At 54.4% G+C, this 16,321-nt stretch overlaps 1 protein-coding gene across 7 annotated transcripts in view, besides 2 other annotated features; it reads left to right on the top strand.

The window, feature by feature from the left end:
- AGO2 (argonaute RISC catalytic component 2) overlaps nt 1-16,321 on the top strand; it is a 122,158-nt gene that overhangs the window by 88,947 nt on the left and 16,890 nt on the right. For all 7 annotated transcript variants that reach the window (XM_011516968.3, NM_001164623.3, NM_012154.5 and 4 more), the window contains 6 exons: nt 1,931-2,064; nt 4,069-4,253; nt 5,740-5,899; nt 9,064-9,154; nt 12,009-12,203; nt 13,913-14,047. In XM_011516968.3, the coding sequence (XP_011515270.3) occupies nt 1,931-2,064; nt 4,069-4,253; nt 5,740-5,899; nt 9,064-9,154; nt 12,009-12,203; nt 13,913-14,047 (900 nt within the window). The remainder of the gene's footprint in view (nt 1-1,930; nt 2,065-4,068; nt 4,254-5,739; nt 5,900-9,063; nt 9,155-12,008; nt 12,204-13,912; nt 14,048-16,321) is intronic.
- Nucleotides 2,984-3,484: an enhancer, noted in NCBI's record as "H3K4me1 hESC enhancer chr8:141559982-141560482 (GRCh37/hg19 assembly coordinates)". NCBI's record gives its function as "activates a minimal SCP1, AML or CMV promoter by ChIP-STARR-seq in primed H9 embryonic stem cells {active_cell/tissue: H9 hESC(primed)}" and the evidence as "EXISTENCE:reporter gene assay evidence [ECO:0000049][PMID:30033119]".
- Nucleotides 7,921-8,698: an enhancer, noted in NCBI's record as "H3K4me1 hESC enhancer chr8:141554768-141555545 (GRCh37/hg19 assembly coordinates)". NCBI's record gives its function as "activates a minimal SCP1, AML or CMV promoter by ChIP-STARR-seq in naive H9 embryonic stem cells {active_cell/tissue: H9 hESC(naive)}" and the evidence as "EXISTENCE:reporter gene assay evidence [ECO:0000049][PMID:30033119]".

Here is a 16,321-nt window from a genome sequence, read left to right as displayed (position 1 = left end):
TGTTGCCCTGGCTCCAGTGCAGTGACGCGGTCATAGCTCACTACAGCCCTGACCTTCCGGGCTCAAGCGTTCCTCCCACCTCAGCCTCTCGAATTGCTGGGACCACAGCCACACCACCACACCCAGCTAGGTTTTTAATGTTTTGTAGAGACGAGGTCTCACTATGTTACCCAGGCTCATCTTGAACTCCTGGGCTCAAGCAGTCCTCCCACCTCAGCTGGGATTACAGGTGTAAGCCACTGCACCTGACTGAGCGTGTAATGCTTCTGTTAATACATGAATACATTTTTCCAGATCTCTAAAACATTATAATGTGAGGAAACATTCCTGTCCCCTACTCTACCTACCCCTGGTCCATTGTTAGTGCAAAAAAACAAAATATCCCTCAGAAAGCAATGTGTACAGCAGGAGTTCTCGACCAGGGATGATTTTGCCCCCCAGGGGACATCTGGCAGTGTCTGGAGACATTTTTTATTGTCACAACTTGGGGGTGAGTGGGATCGCCTACAGGGCACAGGACAGCCCCGTAACAAAGAATCATTGAGCTTCGGATGTCAGTTGTGCCGAGGTTGAGAAGCACCTGTATAGTAAGAGTGTGTGTGTGTGTGTGTGTGTGTGTGTGTGTGCGCGCGCGCGCGTGCATGTGCGTGTGTTCATGTGCATGTGAGTGCATGCGTGTGTGTGTGTGTGTGCACTCCCTGTCTGGAGCCCCAGGCTGTCTGTGAGACTCTTGCACACAGGGAGGCTGGTGGGAACAGGCAGTAGTTATAAAAATATAGGAAACAAAGCATTTGTTTCTATCACGTGTCTGATTTCTACAGCAGGCTTGTATTTTGTACGAAAGATGCTTCCTGCTAAAAAAAACAAAAACCTCTCCAGAGTAAATGACGGCAGCCCAGGCACAGCCGCATCCTTTAGCAATGCCCCCAGGCCTAGGAGTGCCTGTCCCTCCCACACGGGACCCTTCCTGGCCCACCCTTCCCTTGAGAATCACTTGAAGCCAGTTCAGAGATTCCTTAGGTGACAGTGCTCAGGGCTGGCTGAGAGCTGGCTGAGAGCTGACAGCGCATTTGCACAGCCCGCCTTTCTCTTCTCAAGTGGAAGTAGCTCCCGTTTCCGACACAGCTGCAGGCAGTGGCATGCTGAGTGGAAAAAGCTATGGGCTCAGTCCCAGCTCTGATCTCCCCTTCCCACATCATTGGTGATAGAGGAGGGGAAATGAGGGAAAGCTCTGTATAGAACAGGAGGCCTTCCTGTAGCATGGCAAGGCCTGTAGCATGGCAAGGCACTTCTCTTCCTCCAGGCTGCTCATGAGGTTGGATGGAGCTTTGGGCCTCCCTCCTCCTGGCTTAGCTCCCATCTGTCTGTTCATTACTTACCCATCCATCCTCCATCTAACTCCATCCATCCATCCATTCATCCATTCATCCATCTCTCCATCTCTCCATCCACCTACCTACCTTATCCACTCATCAGCCATCCACCCACCCACCTTATCCACCCATCAACCATTTACCCATTCACCTTATGCACCCATCAGCCATCCACCCACCCACTTTATCCACCCATCAACCATCCACCCACCCATCTTATCCACCGATCATCAACGGACCACCCACCTACCTTATCCACCGATCAACCATCCACCCACCCATCAACTATCCACCGACCCATCAACCATCCACCCACCCATCAACCATCCACCCACCCATCAACCATCCACCCACCCATCTTCCACCAGCCCATCCATCTACCGATCCTGTCAGTTGTCTGCATCACTAGGCAGGTCAGAGACAGGAGACAACACAAAAGTTCTTTCCCTGAGAAGCAGTTGTTGGTCAGGGGGACCAACAGTGAGAGTGACAAAGTCTAAGGTTGAAGGAATATGTTTTCCATTTTTTTCTCACCCTGAACCTTTTGCCATTTGCAGAATAAAGCTATTGCGACCCCTGTCCAGGGCGTCTGGGACATGCGGAACAAGCAGTTCCACACGGGCATCGAGATCAAGGTGTGGGCCATTGCGTGCTTCGCCCCCCAGCGCCAGTGCACGGAAGTCCATCTGAAGTAAGCCCCCCACAGGCAGAGGCTCCGGCCTGGGGGTGCTGCCCGATGGGCAGCTCAAGTGACCACTTGCAGGGCTGACTCTGGTTGGGGTGGGGGTGAGGGTGCTGGTATGGGTTTTGATGTCAGGGTTCATCAGCCTTTCCCTGTCACGTACCATTGGCCGGGCCAGGGCAAGACATGCTGGCCCCATTGGTGCCCCTCTCACTCCTGGGACCCACCCTCGCAGTGAGCATGGAGAAGTAACGCAGACCGTAGACAAAACCAAACAGGATCTGAAGGAAATTTATAAGTAGGGGCAAAAGAGAGAATTGGATTCAATGAACTACAGTTATTTTAAAAAATAATAATTTGGCTCCATATTTGTGTAAATTAGAAGGAGAAAATGAAGACAGAATCAGGAAGAGATGGGTCGGGCACAGTGGCTCATGCCTGTAATCCCCAGCACTTTGGGAGGCTGAGGCAGAAGGATCACTTGAGGTCAGGAGTTTGAGACCAGCCCATCTCTACGAAAAATAGAAAAATTAGCCAAGCGTGGTGGTGCACCTGTAGTCCCAGCTACTCAGGGCACTGAGGCTGGAGAATCGCTTGAACCCGGGAGGTGGAGGTTGCAGTGAGCCTAGATCACACCATTGCACTCCACCCTGGGTGAAAAAGCAAGACCCCATCTCAAGAAAAAAAATAGGAAGAGAAGGTGAAATAGAGAGGTGGAGAGGCTGGGAGTGTTATCTTCCTTCCCAGACAAGAGGAGTGATTAAGAGGAGAGAAGTGTTGGTTCAGGTCTCTGCCACCTGCCCAGGTGAGTACCAGGCCCTCTAGGAGGCCCAAGTGCTGTGGAAGGGCCTGCCCTCACCCAGGATGCTCGCCTCGGCCAGCACAGCCGTGCCAGGTACGGGCCCAGCGGGACTGTGTTGGGAGCACACAGCAGGGTGGCTCGTGCCTTTGTGCCAGACTTCAAAGGGAACATAAAGTCTTTGCTTCCCCGCTCTGTGGGGGCAGCAGGGGAGAACTCCAGCCTGTGAGGTGTAGCCGGTCCCTTAACAGTTCCAGCAAGGGCTGACTGCGAACCAGCATGGCCCTCAGAGCTGACGTCTTGCTGGCGAGTGGCCATCTGTCCTTCTGAGGCCACCTTGTGTCCACACTGCTGGCAGAGGAGGTGGAAGCCTAGAGAGGGGGTTTGGGAAGCAAGCTGAAGTAGGTTAGTTCTGAACACAGGGTCGCCTCCTGCCCCTTCTTTTGTCCTTGGCCCCTTCCTTCACTTTGGCCTGGAGCTGAAGATATGGGTGGACACACACGTGTTTCTTGACCTGATCTAATGTACAGGAAATTGGACACTGGCTGGGTTGGAGTGCCGTGTCCTCGCCCTTATTGTAGAAGGTGACATGATTCTTAGTCTTCGGCTTAAAATAGAAGCCGCTGCCCTGCCTCCCACCCCGCCCCAGCTTCACAAGGCTAGCCGTTGCCAGCTGCTGCCACTCCTCAGGCTGCGGGCTGCTGTTTTCTCTCGTGATGATGTCATACAGTCCAAGTTATGCCCATCAGAACTACTGGGGGAAAAGATCCAAAAGGACAGTGAGCTGAAAACCTCCCTCACTCTGACAGTGCCTGGCCTGCACGTGGGGAGAGCTTCACAAGAGCTCCAGGCGCTGCTCAGCAGCTTTACGGGGACAGCATCGCATCACTGCCCTGGGGCCGCCACAGCCGCGAGGCAGCGTGAGCGCGGTTTAAAGGCTGCTGTGTTACGGTGGCAAGTTAGCCGCATGTGACTTTTGAGTGCACTTACATGTTACATGTATGTTTAGCACACTTAACCTTTCTCATGAGTTAGTATGTGTTAGGAGATGTAGCTCTGAATTCTGGCCTCATTCAGGACTTTAAGAACAATTTTGACCTCAATGAAAGTGCTTTGGGCTTTGTAAAAATGACGCCCTTGTGTTAGAGCCTCTGGTCGGCCTGAGTTCTCTGCCATTCCCAGTGCCCGGTAGTGAACGGAGCCTTCTCCTGCAGGTCCTTCACAGAGCAGCTCAGAAAGATCTCGAGAGACGCCGGCATGCCCATCCAGGGCCAGCCGTGCTTCTGCAAATACGCGCAGGGGGCGGACAGCGTGGAGCCCATGTTCCGGCACCTGAAGAACACGTATGCGGGCCTGCAGCTGGTGGTGGTCATCCTGCCCGGCAAGACGCCCGTGTACGGTAGGTGTGGGCGCTCCCGCTGGCTGTGGGGAGCCGTCGTGGTCTCCGTGGGTGTTTGTTCCTGCCTAAGCCCCTCTGTGTTTCTGCTGCACTGAGAAAGGTGCTCCTTTTGGGCCTTTCAGGAGGCTGAGGAAGAAGAGGTGGCTTGTCATCACTGCCACTTCTGATCACTGTGTTCAGGGCCTCCCCGTCGTCCTGTATGATGCCATGGTCCTGGGCAGTCAGCACCCTCGGGTGGCACAGGCCTTGGCACATGGGTGGGCACCCCGCCCATCATACAGCATGCGTGTTGGCTGGATGGGGGAACGTTTGTTTAACGCACAGAGCGTTGCACCAGGGTCACCTCCTGCCCGGGACTCAGCCTATGTGTAACCACTCTGTGCCCACCTCAGAATTTTGTGGAGTTTCGCCAAAGTCCATGCCAGGGGGTCACCCACAGGGCCCCACGCTGAGCCACAGACAGATTATTGACATGTAAAAACCACACTTCTCTCAGTTCAACATCCCAAAAAAAGAAGGGAAGAAAAAGCTGTTGGTGTTGACATCCTGCTAACACTGTCCCAGGGTCACCATTTCCCCACACCTGCCCAGGGAGCAGCTGACCAGTTGCTTCATGAAAGAGACCAGGAATAGCGGGGGGTGGGTCCGTGGAGCTCTTTGATGTCAGGTCTACATCTGCCAAGGATTTGGAGGGTGCCAGTGTTTTTATTTTTAACCACCCAAGCATTTGCTTACAGCCAGGGCGCCGTGGTGTGAGTGACCCTCCTTTTTTTCTTTTCCTTTTTTTTTTTTTTTTTTTAGACAAGGGCTGGCTCTGTCTCCTAGCCTGGAGTGCAGTGGTGTGATTTTGGCTCACTGCAATCTCTGCCTCCTGAGTTCAAGCAATTCTCCTGCCTCAGCCTCCCGAGTAGCTGGGATTACAGGCACACACTGCCATGCCCGGCTAATTTTTATATTATTAGTAGAGACAGGGTTTTGCCATGTTGGCCAGGCTGGTCTTGAACTCCTGACCTCAGCTGATCCGCCCGCCATGGCCTCCCAGAGTCCTGGGATTACAGGTGTGAGCCACCGCGCCCGGCCAGTGTAAGTGGCCTTCCTAAGCAGGGAGCCAAGTCCTTTCTTTTAGTTGGGCTCTTTCTCTCCTGCCCTGGGGCCCTAGGTGAGGCATTTAAATCGTTTTGTTGATAAATTGGAGGGATGAGATAGACTCACTCAACTTCCCTTCCTGAGGGAGGGAAAGCCTGGCCTGGGCGAGGCGGGCACAGCCGTGCTGGAGTCTGGACTCCAAGGAGCTTGGCGTCCCCCTCGGGACCAGGGACCCTCTTCTATCACCGACCTCGGACAGAGGGGGACACGCAAAGCTCAGCACAGCTGCCATGGCTGCACTTGCCAGATGGGGGCAAGAGGGCTGGTGGCAGCTGCTGCTCTCGGGGCCAGCTGAGGAAGGGGCGCCGGCAGAGCTGTGTGTGCCTCTCATGTCCCTTAGCCGAGGTCAAGCGCGTGGGAGACACGGTGCTGGGGATGGCCACGCAGTGCGTGCAGATGAAGAACGTGCAGAGGACCACGCCACAGACCCTGTCCAACCTCTGCCTGAAGATCAACGTCAAGCTGGGAGGCGTGAACAACATCCTGCTGCCCCAGGGCAGGTGAGGCCCGGCCCCTTTACCTCCGCCTGCGGACCAGGGCACAGTGGGACGCTTGGCAGGGTGGGGTGCAGTATGCAGGGGGCAGGGGGGCAGGGTCCCTTCACCTGGGCCCAGCACCGTCCTGGCCACAGCAGAGCAAAGATGTCAGACATAGATCTGGCTGCTCACGCTCTGCTGGGGACCAGGGGCGTCTGCAGGAGTTTGAGCACTGTGGCCGGGTTTCCAGACAGAGAAATTTGTGCCTCGAATCCCAGTGGGCAAGGCAGAGCAGGGCATGCCTTGGATGGCCAGGAGATGGAGATGGGCTTCCCTGGCTCAGCAGCAGCAGCAGCTACCGTGTGGACCAGGGCCCTCTACCATGCTTCCCACACCAGGCTAGTCATGGATGCTGCGTCGTGCTGGGACTTTAGACTGAAAAGCTCCTCATGGGAGCACACTGTTGGCAGCTCCCAGGCCAGGACAGGATATGTGGCCAAGCGCTGGCCACCTGCCGGTCTCAGAGGCCCAGGGCTGACCGCCGGGGACGGGGGTTGGGGGTGATGGAGCTGCACCCTCCTCTGGCACCTCCTGACTGGCTGAGCATCCAGGTATTCCAGGGCAGGGCCAGGGTTTGCTTCTTCCCCTCCTCCAAAGCCACCAACCTGTGATGTAGGCAAGAAAGACGTCTCCACACAATGACAGGCATCTTTGCCAACCCTGGCAGTTGTCTTAACATTTGGACGACAACAACGGAGAATACGTAGAATCAGATTATTTGTGCGTTTGGGCAGGAGGGAACTGGAGGCCATAGGCAGCCCCTGTGGCGTGGATCTGTTGGAGCTCCCAGTCACAGTGGGGCTCAGCTGATAAAGCCATCCTAAGCCAGGCAGTGCGCTAAATCTGCATCACTGGCACGCCGTCACAGAGTTAAGAATCCTAAATCGAACTGCCTTAAGGCAGTGACCCTCTGTATTTGGAAAGTGGGCGGTGGTGAGCCCCTGCTGTGTGCACAGGCCTGTGCTTGGCCACCACAGTGTCCTCACACCTGAGCAGCTCTTGAACCCCAGCGGGGCTCGTTCCCGAGTGTCCTACTCAGCAGGACTGATTGGGGCCAGGAATTTCCACCCCTAGCAAGTGGACGGACACAGTGCCGATGCTGCCACATGGGGGACCAGGTTTTGAGAGCTACCGAGTTACACGCACCCAGAAACAGTCCGTTGAATTCATCAGGGAGCGGGATAATAACATGGGAAGAACCTGGATTCCGAGTGGAACGGCTGTGAGCGTGGGGTGCGGGCTCTGCAGTGAAACAGGTTCATGGGAATGAGCGAAGACCAATCCAGAGCTGGCTGGGAACTGAAAGTGCTGTTCCTCAGTCAACAGGTTCTGTATTTATTGAGTACCTACTGTGTGCAGGGAGTTTGGGCCATAAGTGGGCAGCACCGGGCCGGAAGTCCTGGTGGAGGCACCCAGGTCATGAGCCCATCGTACAGGCGGCAGGTGCACAGCAGAGCCATGAGAGGACCATGAGAGCAGACAAGAGACAGGCCCTCCCACGTGCTGCCTGGGGAATGCTGGGGAATGAAGGCTCCCTCTGGTGAGCTGGGGTGAGCTGGGGCCGTCGGAGGCACCCGACAGTGTGGCCACCTCTGGCTCCGTGAAGCCGAGAGGGGCTGGTGGCCTCGGCCACGCCAGGGCAGGGGCACAGAGTGGGAGCATCTAGACTTTGAGATGTTTTGAAGATAGAGCCCTGGGACTTGCTGGCAGGTGGGATTGGGCTGTGTGTGAAGGAAAAATCAAGGCCCTTGGCCTGGGCTGCAGGAGAGACCCCGTCATCATTAGACGGGGAGGCTGTTGGGAGGGTGAGCACTGGGCGTGGATGAACTGGCCCCCACAGCGTCTGCAGGTCATTTGAGTGCAGCTGATGAGTGGACGGTGGGAGCCAGGAGGCTGGCATCAGGGGAGACAGGATCCAGGAATCCTTAGCAGACAGGTGGTATTCCAAGCCCTGGGCCCTAGAGAAGGCTGGAGTTCAAGGCCTGGAGAGGGAGGAACCAGCAGCGGAGATGGGAGAGGCTGGGGCAGGGAGGCCGGCCGCAGGGCCCTAGGCACCAAGGGAAGTGTGTCCTGCAGCGGGCCAGACGCAGCGAGGCCTGAGGCTCGGCCATGGGTCTGGGTGATGCAGAGCTCATCGGTGACCTTGGGGAGAGGAGCCCTGTTGCTGTGGCCGTGAGAAGTCTGACTAGAAGGGGCCTGGGAGCCAGCGCAAGCAGTGATGGGTTCGGCTGAGTCGGAGCTCTGCCGCAAGGCAGGCGATGGGAGTGAGAGGATGTGGGCGGAGAGTGAGTCACAGGCATGCAGGGAAATGGATGCGGGGAGAGGGCAGCAGAGGCGAGGGCCTCATGTACCTGGTTTCCAACAGGCAGGGCTGGCAGAACGGCCACTTCTGATGCTTCCTGATGTTGCCTGCAGCAGCCGAGCAAGGCTGGGTGGGGTGTGCGGCGGTGCACTCTCAACCCGGGAGGAAGGTGCTGTCACCACCTCCGCCTTTCCCCGGAGAGCCCGAGGCCCACATGCCTGTCCTTGCCCCTGTGCGTGCTGCCTCCCAGGGAAGTCCCCACTGGGATATACTCAGGGTCTGAAAGTTCTCCATGGGGTGGTTTTGCTGCCAGGGGACGCGTGGTCATGTCTGGAGACATGTTGGGGTGTCAGGCTTGATGGAGTGCTACTGGCATCCAGTGAGTGGAGGCCTCTCAGCGTCTGCCCATGCTGGGGACAGCCCCCTACCCCAACAAAGAGCGAGCTGGCCCCAGGCATTGGTGGTGCTAAGGGTGGCGGTGAGAAACCCTGGCGTGGGTGTGGCTGCAGAGGGAGTAGAGGGTAGAAGGGTGAGCCCTCCTGGGCCTGGGCCTGAGCCCCAGCCTCAACAGCTGTCAGCTCCTGGCCCATCTGGTCTGGAGTACACTCCACCCAAGCCCCCCAACCCGTGGCTATTCTGAAGCAGATTTCAGACCTTGTGTCATTTAATCTGCAGGGTTTTTAGTATTCCGGTTAAAAGATAAGGATTCTTTTCAAAAGCATTACCATGATACACTGACCACCTCCAAAAGGTGATGGTGGCACCTACTAGCGTCAGAGGTCCAGGCGTGTCTCACCGTGGCCCCTGACGCCACTCCTCTCCGCAGGCCGCCGGTGTTCCAGCAGCCCGTCATCTTTCTGGGAGCAGACGTCACTCACCCCCCCGCCGGGGATGGGAAGAAGCCCTCCATTGCCGCCGTGAGTGTCAGCGCTTCCCCATGGGTCTTCCATTGACAACATGCAGGACGCTGTCGAAGTCCCACTGTCACAGCGTGGCCAGGGGTCCTTCCTGAAAGGCATGGGGTCTCACTAAGCTGCGGTAGGGACGGCCGGGGTCTTGTGGGAGAGAGGTGTCTGGAGGGGACACTAGAATGACACAAAATAAGTTCTAAGAAGCAGTCAGAGGTGGGGCATAGGGGCTCATGCCTATCCAGCCCTTTGGGAGGTCTGAAGGGCAAGGAGGCCCCCTTGCACATGGCCTGACTGGCGGGTGGTAGCCTAGGGTGTGATGACGCCTGTGCCCCCACAGCATGAGAACTCCGGCCTTGGACACAGCCCCGAACCCCAGACAGGCCCGTGCTGCTTCTGTTTTCTTGTTTCTCTTGCACAATGAGCTTAATGTTTCAGAACTTTCTTGGGTGTAAAATGAGGAAACAAATGTTGACCTCATGGGAGAATTAGGAAATGATGTCGTTAAGCCCCTGGCACGGTGCCTGGCACATAGTAGATGCTCAGAAAATGCTTACATTCCAGCCTGGGCAACATGGCGAACGCCCATCTCTACAAAAATAGCTGGGGGTGGTGGCGTGCGCCTGTAGTTCCTGCTACCTAGGAGGCTGAGGTGAGAGGATTGCCAGAGCACAGGAGGTCGAGGCTGCAGTGAGAAGAGATTGCGCCGCTGCACTCCAGCCTGGCCAACAAAGTGAGATTTTCTCTCAAAAAAGAAAAAGAAAATGCTACCATTATTATTTCATTAGTTGGGAGAGAATATGGAGCAAGAGAATCTATCTGGGACGCAAGGAAGCCATTCGAGCTGCCCCAGGTGGAAGAAAAGCAACATGATATGTGCTCTGGTGTTATTCAGGGCACACTTCCTTTAAGGAAATTCACATGCATCAACTAATTCTTGCCACTTGGCCCGATAATCACAACCCCACCACTCCCACGCATATACCGCTGCTCACTTTGCTGAGTCGTTTTTTTGTTGTTGTTGTTGTTTTGTGGGTTTTTTTTTGTTGTTTCTATTTTTGTTTTTTGTTTTGTTTTGTTTTGTTTTGTGAGACAGAGTAACTGTCACCCGGGCTGGATTGCAGTGGTGCGATCTCAGCTCACTGCAACCTTTGCCTCCCAGGTTCAAGCAATTCTCCCACCTCAGCCTCCCGAGTAGCTGGGATTACAGGCACCTGTCATCATGGCTGGCTAAATTTTGTATTTTATAGAGATGGGGTTTCACCGTGTTGGCCAGGCTGGTCTTGAACTCCTGACCTCAGGTGATCCACCTGCTTCAACCTCCCAAAGTGCTGGGATGACAGGCGTGAGCCACTGCACCTGGCCATGCTGAGCCATTTTCAGCCCTTTCCTCTGATGGGGAAGCACCGCATGGCTGTCACCGAGCCACAGCTGGGCACCAGTGTGCCCAGGAGGGAGCCAGGGCACAGAGGGGACCCCCCGAGGGTCCTGCAGCTGGGGAAAGCCCGCAGCACAGCGGGCTGGCGCCCTCCCCTGTCCCCACCTCACCTGGTCCCCGTTAGCTTTGTTTTTTTCTGTACAAATGTTATGAAGCATTCAACTATATCTTGGGCTTTTGGAGCCTTAGGCTGGTTTTTTTTTTTTTTTTCAAGTTTTCAGGAACAGAGAAATCTGTGTGTTTATCCCCTATCCCCACAATTCTCAATCAATAGGAACAGATTTCTGTTTATGTTAATGTATTTCTGTTTATACCAACTGGAAACATTACAGAGTTTATTTATTTTTCTCTTGGTTTAAGAGAAAAATTATAGCCCAAGGCAGGACAAAGGACGTGGAATAGTGGGAGAATTAACTGGGAAAGAACTTGTTCTGTAAGGATTTACGAAGAAGGAGGCAGATTGCCAAGAAGCAGTTCCTATTTTTCAGTGACATGAGAGGTTTTATTTCCATCAGTGTTTTTTCAAAATTTAAGGACCTTTCCTTCCGCAGCCAGAGGGTGGAGCGACACGTGGGGATCTACCCGGTTCCCTCCATGGGCTGGGCCACCTCATCCCTCACGCTCCCTTGGCCCCCGACAGAGAACCGCAGAGCCGTGCTAGGCTCTCTCTGTCTGCCCTCTTCATGGCTGGCACCTTCCGGTGGCTGCTTGCATGGCTGGTGTGCCTTCGGGGATGCTGTTGATGTGCTTGTAGTTTCTTTGGAAGAAATAGGGACACCCCCACCCATTGCCTTCTTTGGACTGATTAATTCAGCCACATCTGATCCCAAGCAGAGGATAGTTCTAATCTGTTTTTCTGTTTTTGTTTTTGTTTTTGTTTTTGAGATAGAGTCTCACTCTGTTGCCCAGGCTGGAGTGCGTGGTGTGATCTCGGCTCACTGTAACCTCCGCCTCCTGGGTTCAAGCAGTTTTCCTGCCTCAGCCTCCCGAGTAGCTAGGATTACAGGCACGCACCACCATGCCCAGCTCATTTTTATATTTTTAGTAGAGACAGGGTTTTACCATGTTGGCCAGGCTGGTCTCAAACTCCTGACCTCAGGTGATCCGCCCATCTCGGCCTCCAAAGTGCTGGGATTACAGGTGTGAGCCACTGCACCCGGCCTGTTTTGTTTTGTTTTGTTTTGTTTTGTTTAAACTATGTAACTTGGCAAACTTTTGTACTTCAGTACGTATTTACGAACACTATTGCCAGACACCAAAAGCCTAAAGGCTGAGTTCACACCCAGCCAGCCATTGTCACTTGACAGTGACATGAGTTCCAGGGTGGGGACACTTCTCGTCCCCATCTTCCCGAGAGTCCAGGCACATGCCCAGGAAAGGAAAGTTTTGGGAACCCCTGACCACACTCACTGCCTGTTCCTGCAGGTGGTGGGCAGCATGGACGCCCACCCCAATCGCTACTGCGCCACCGTGCGCGTGCAGCAGCACCGGCAGGAGATCATACAAGACCTGGCCGCCATGGTCCGCGAGCTCCTCATCCAGTTCTACAAGTCCACGCGCTTCAAGCCCACCCGCATCATCTTCTACCGCGACGGTGTCTCTGAAGGCCAGTTCCAGCAGGTGGGCGCCTCTTGGAACCTTCCCTCCCCTTCTCTGGGGTCTGTAATTCACCTGTTTGTGCAGCAGAACCACGCTCGATGAATGGCAAGAATGATGTGGCTCTCATTCGGCCCCAAGGCTGATCTGGTCACACCATGGAAGGGGGTCCAGGGGAGGAGATGGGACACGGGGCTGTCGAGACCCTAACACATGACACTGAGGCAGGACAGAGGGAGGGGAGGAGGGGCGGGTATGGGCCTGGGGACCAAGAGATGGGGGAGAGACGCTTGAGTTCCGCTGACTTGCAGAGCAGAGCTCCATCTGGGGGCTTCCCGAGGGCCTGGCTTTGCCTTGCAGGCTGTGGAGAGCTGTCGGGTGTCCCTGCGAGGCGGGGAGCTCATTGCGTCTGGGGACGCCTGTCTGCAGTGTGAGAGGTGTGGAGGCAGGGCCAGAAGGATGGATAGGTGGCAGCTCTGTTGAAGGTAGGGTCGCCAGGACGCGGCCACTGTCTGGATGTAGAGAGAGGGACGGCCACAATGGGTCACTGCTGAGTCTGGACAGGCAGGGAAGCCATCACAGAGGGGTGAGGGGAGTTTCGTTGCTGTCTTTGGTTGAGAGCACACGCAGCACCCCCAGATCAAGGTGACCTGTGGGCAGGAATGAGTCCATCTTGGCCTGGAACCCGGGCGATGGGTGCCCTGAATGTTTCTCCCGTTGGCTAGAGCCGATTCCTCCCCACCCCTCGCCATGCCACACGGTCGCTTCCTTGGGAGGTGTTAGCAAGAAAAGCAGAAGAAAGCGGCCCCAGGCATGTTGGGGGAGGAGCCCCACCCAGTGGGGTGGGAAGACATCCTCCGTGGCTGCCCCAGGAGCTTAGGAACTCCCCGGCCTTGATCAGGAGGCGGGATGGCACGCAGCCCAGCCTCCCCCATTTGCCTTCCCAGTCCAGAGCGGAAGCAGAGCTCGTTCCCGAGACCCATGGCCTCCTGGGAGGACAGAATGGATACACCTTGACCGGCCAGCACTTCTGGCTGGAGCCTGCCTGAGCTGCTTTGTTTTTTGTGTGTTTTTTGTTTTGTTTTTTTGTTTGTTTTTTTTGAGAAAGACTCTCGCTGTCTCCAGTCTGGAGTGCAGTGGCAGGATCTCGGCTCACTGCAACCTCCACCTCCCGGGTTCAAGCAGTTCTCCTGCCTCTGCCTCCGGAGTAGCTGGGATTACGACAGGTGCCCACCACCACGCCCAGTTAATTTTTGTATTTTTAGTAGAAATGGGGTTTCACCATGTTGGCCAGGATGATCTCGATCTCTTGATCTTGTGATCCGCCCAACTCGGCCTCCCAAAGTCCTGGGATTACAGGCATGAGCCACTGCGCCCAGCCCAAAGCCTGCCCTGAGCTTCTGCAGGAGCTTGGCCTCTGCATGTGCCTTCTCAGCGCAGAGCCCAGCCTGCATCCCTGGCGTTGGCTGCGCCCCTTGCACACACACAACCTCCTGGGCCCTCCAGGGGAAGTGTTCTTCCCATTCCTGAGTGCCAAGCCCCCGCTTCCTGCATCCAGTCCTCCCTGCAGAGAGGATGGTTTCTGCCCCCGTGTTTTCACCTCCCCGTGAACACACTCATTGTCTCTCAGAATCACCACGGCTGGGTGTTCTCAACCCAGAACCCGCACGTGGGACCGTTGCTCACATGCACTACCATCTTTAAGCACAACCTCCTCCCTCCCGTACCCCTAGGTTCTCCACCACGAGTTGCTGGCCATCCGTGAGGCCTGTATCAAGCTAGAAAAAGACTACCAGCCCGGGATCACCTTCATCGTGGTGCAGAAGAGGCACCACACCCGGCTCTTCTGCACTGACAAGAACGAGCGGGTGAGTTTCTGCATGACTCCAGGCAGGGGGCACGGTTCTCCCCTCAGCCCCACACCCCGAGCACACTCACAAGAGAACCTGCTGGCCACAGTGCCGCTGTCCCAGGCTCTAGGGTGACTCTGTCCTCTAAGGGGCTTCATGGGGACCCAGGTTTAGACACTAGAGAAGGCTGTCCTTGATTTGGTGAAGCTTTTTTGTTGTTGTTTTGGAGGGTTTTAAGATGGGGTCTGGCTCTGTCACCCAGGCTAGAGTGCAGTGGTGCGATCATAGCTTACTGCAGCCTCTATCTCCTGGGCTCAAGTGATCTTCCCACGTCAGCCTCCCTGGTAGCTAGGACTAAGGCATGCACCACCACACCTGGTTAATTTTTTTTTTATTTTTTGTAGAGACAGGGTCTCACTATTTTGTCCAAGCTGGTCTTAAACTCCTGGGCTTAAGCCATCCTCTTGCCTTGGCCTGCCAAAGTGCTGGCATTACAGGTGTGAACCACTGCGCCCCACCAAAAAGTCTTAATTTATAAATCCCACAGGCCTAGGCTAGGTCTAGGCACAAGATGTCACTTATCTAATAGATTACCAAAAGAGGTGGCTCTGAAAAAGTCCCAGTTAGAAACCACAGCATGGAGCTGTGCAGTCGTAAGAATTGGCAGAGTGGTGCAAACTCGGACCCTCCCGGCAGGTCCCTGTGGCAGGGCTGGAAGGTGGTGCTGAGGAGGGGAGGAGAGGTGGCGGCGTTGAAGCGCCATGGTACATCTCATAGGTGTTCCGGAAGGGGAATGAGGAGGAGCAGGAGTTGTAGATAGAAGAGCTGAGAATTCTCCACAGCTGACGAAAGGCAGGAGACCCAGGTTAAAAGTGTTTTCCGTATTCCTAGTAGGATAAGTAAAAAGAAACTCACACCTGTCCACGTTGTCCTACCTGCATAACATCAAGGTAGCTGCCTAAGGAAAGAGACCTGCCCAGAAAGGAGGCCTTGGACTGAACCAGGAGACCTTGACCTGGTCAAGGGAGGACCGGAAGGCAGAGGGTTATCATCTACTTGGCACCCAGGAAAGAATACTTCAGAGTGTTAGACTCCCTACAGGCACGGCTGTGCAAGGACACAGGGAAGGTTTACTGTGCAAATGGAAGGTGAAACAGAAGTTAAGCATCACAGTGAGGAAAAAGGATATTTTATCACAGTAAAAGGAATCATTCACCAGGCCAGGCACGGTGGCTCACGCCTGTAATCCTGGCACTTTGGGAGGCCGAGGCAGGTGGGTCACCTGAGGTCAGGAGACCGAGACCAGCCTGGCCAACATGGCGAAACCCCATCTCTACTAAAAATACATAAAATTACCCAGGCGTGGTGGCGGGCGCCTGTAGTCCCAGGTACTCGGGAGGCTGAGGCAAGAGAATTGCTTAAACCTGGGAGGCAGAGGTTGCAGTGAGCCAACATTTTGCTACTGCACTCCCGCCTGGGGGGCAGAGTGAGACTATCTCAAAAAAGAAAAACAATACCCAAAAATAAATAAGTAGAATGATTCACCAAAAAGATACAGCAACTAATGAGCTTGAATGTACCTAACACCAAATTATGTAAAGAAAAAAAAAGTAAAGCAAAAACTAACAGCATTTTAAGGAGAAATTGATGAACACGCCATCAAAGGTGGATATTTTTACACAGCTCTTATTATACTGTTTCCAGACAAAAATGAAAAACTAAGGAAAAAAAATTGGGGCCAGGCGTAGTGACTCACGCCTGTAATCCCACCACTTTGGGAGGCCAAGGTAGGTGGATCGTATTAGTCCAAGAGTTCAAGACTAGCCTGAGCAACAAAGTGAAACCCCATCTCGAAAAGAAATTTAAAAATTAGTTGTGTATGGTAGCATACGCCTATGGTCCCAGCTACTCAGGAGGCTGAGGCAGGAGACTTACTTGAGCTCAGGAGGCTGAGGCTGCAATGAGCTGTGATTGCACCACTGCACTCCGACCTGTCTTAAAAAAAAAAAAAGAAAAGAAACCCTGAAAATTGGAAGAGTGAAATGAACAAGCCAAGCCAGGTCTAATAGCTAGATAGAATCTTCCCTACAAATAGCTGAGTTCACACGGAAGGGTTATAAAAGTTCTACCAGGACAAAGGAAGTCTCGGGAGCTTTCCAAACTTCAGTCTCAAGCCATATTTTTTAAATCATTATACAATTAAATTTTAAATCAACAGTAGAAACGAAGTGGAAGAATGTTTTCAACTTTCAATTCACTGCTGAGTAGCTCATGCATTAAACATGTAACAAG

The sequence above is a fragment of the Homo sapiens genome, chromosome 8 (assembly GCF_000001405.40).
Source record: "Homo sapiens chromosome 8, GRCh38.p14 Primary Assembly".
Taxonomy (NCBI): domain Eukaryota; kingdom Metazoa; phylum Chordata; class Mammalia; order Primates; family Hominidae; genus Homo; species Homo sapiens.
The sequence above is the reverse complement of the archived record's forward strand: the minus strand, read 5'-3'. Positions and strand labels throughout refer to the sequence as shown.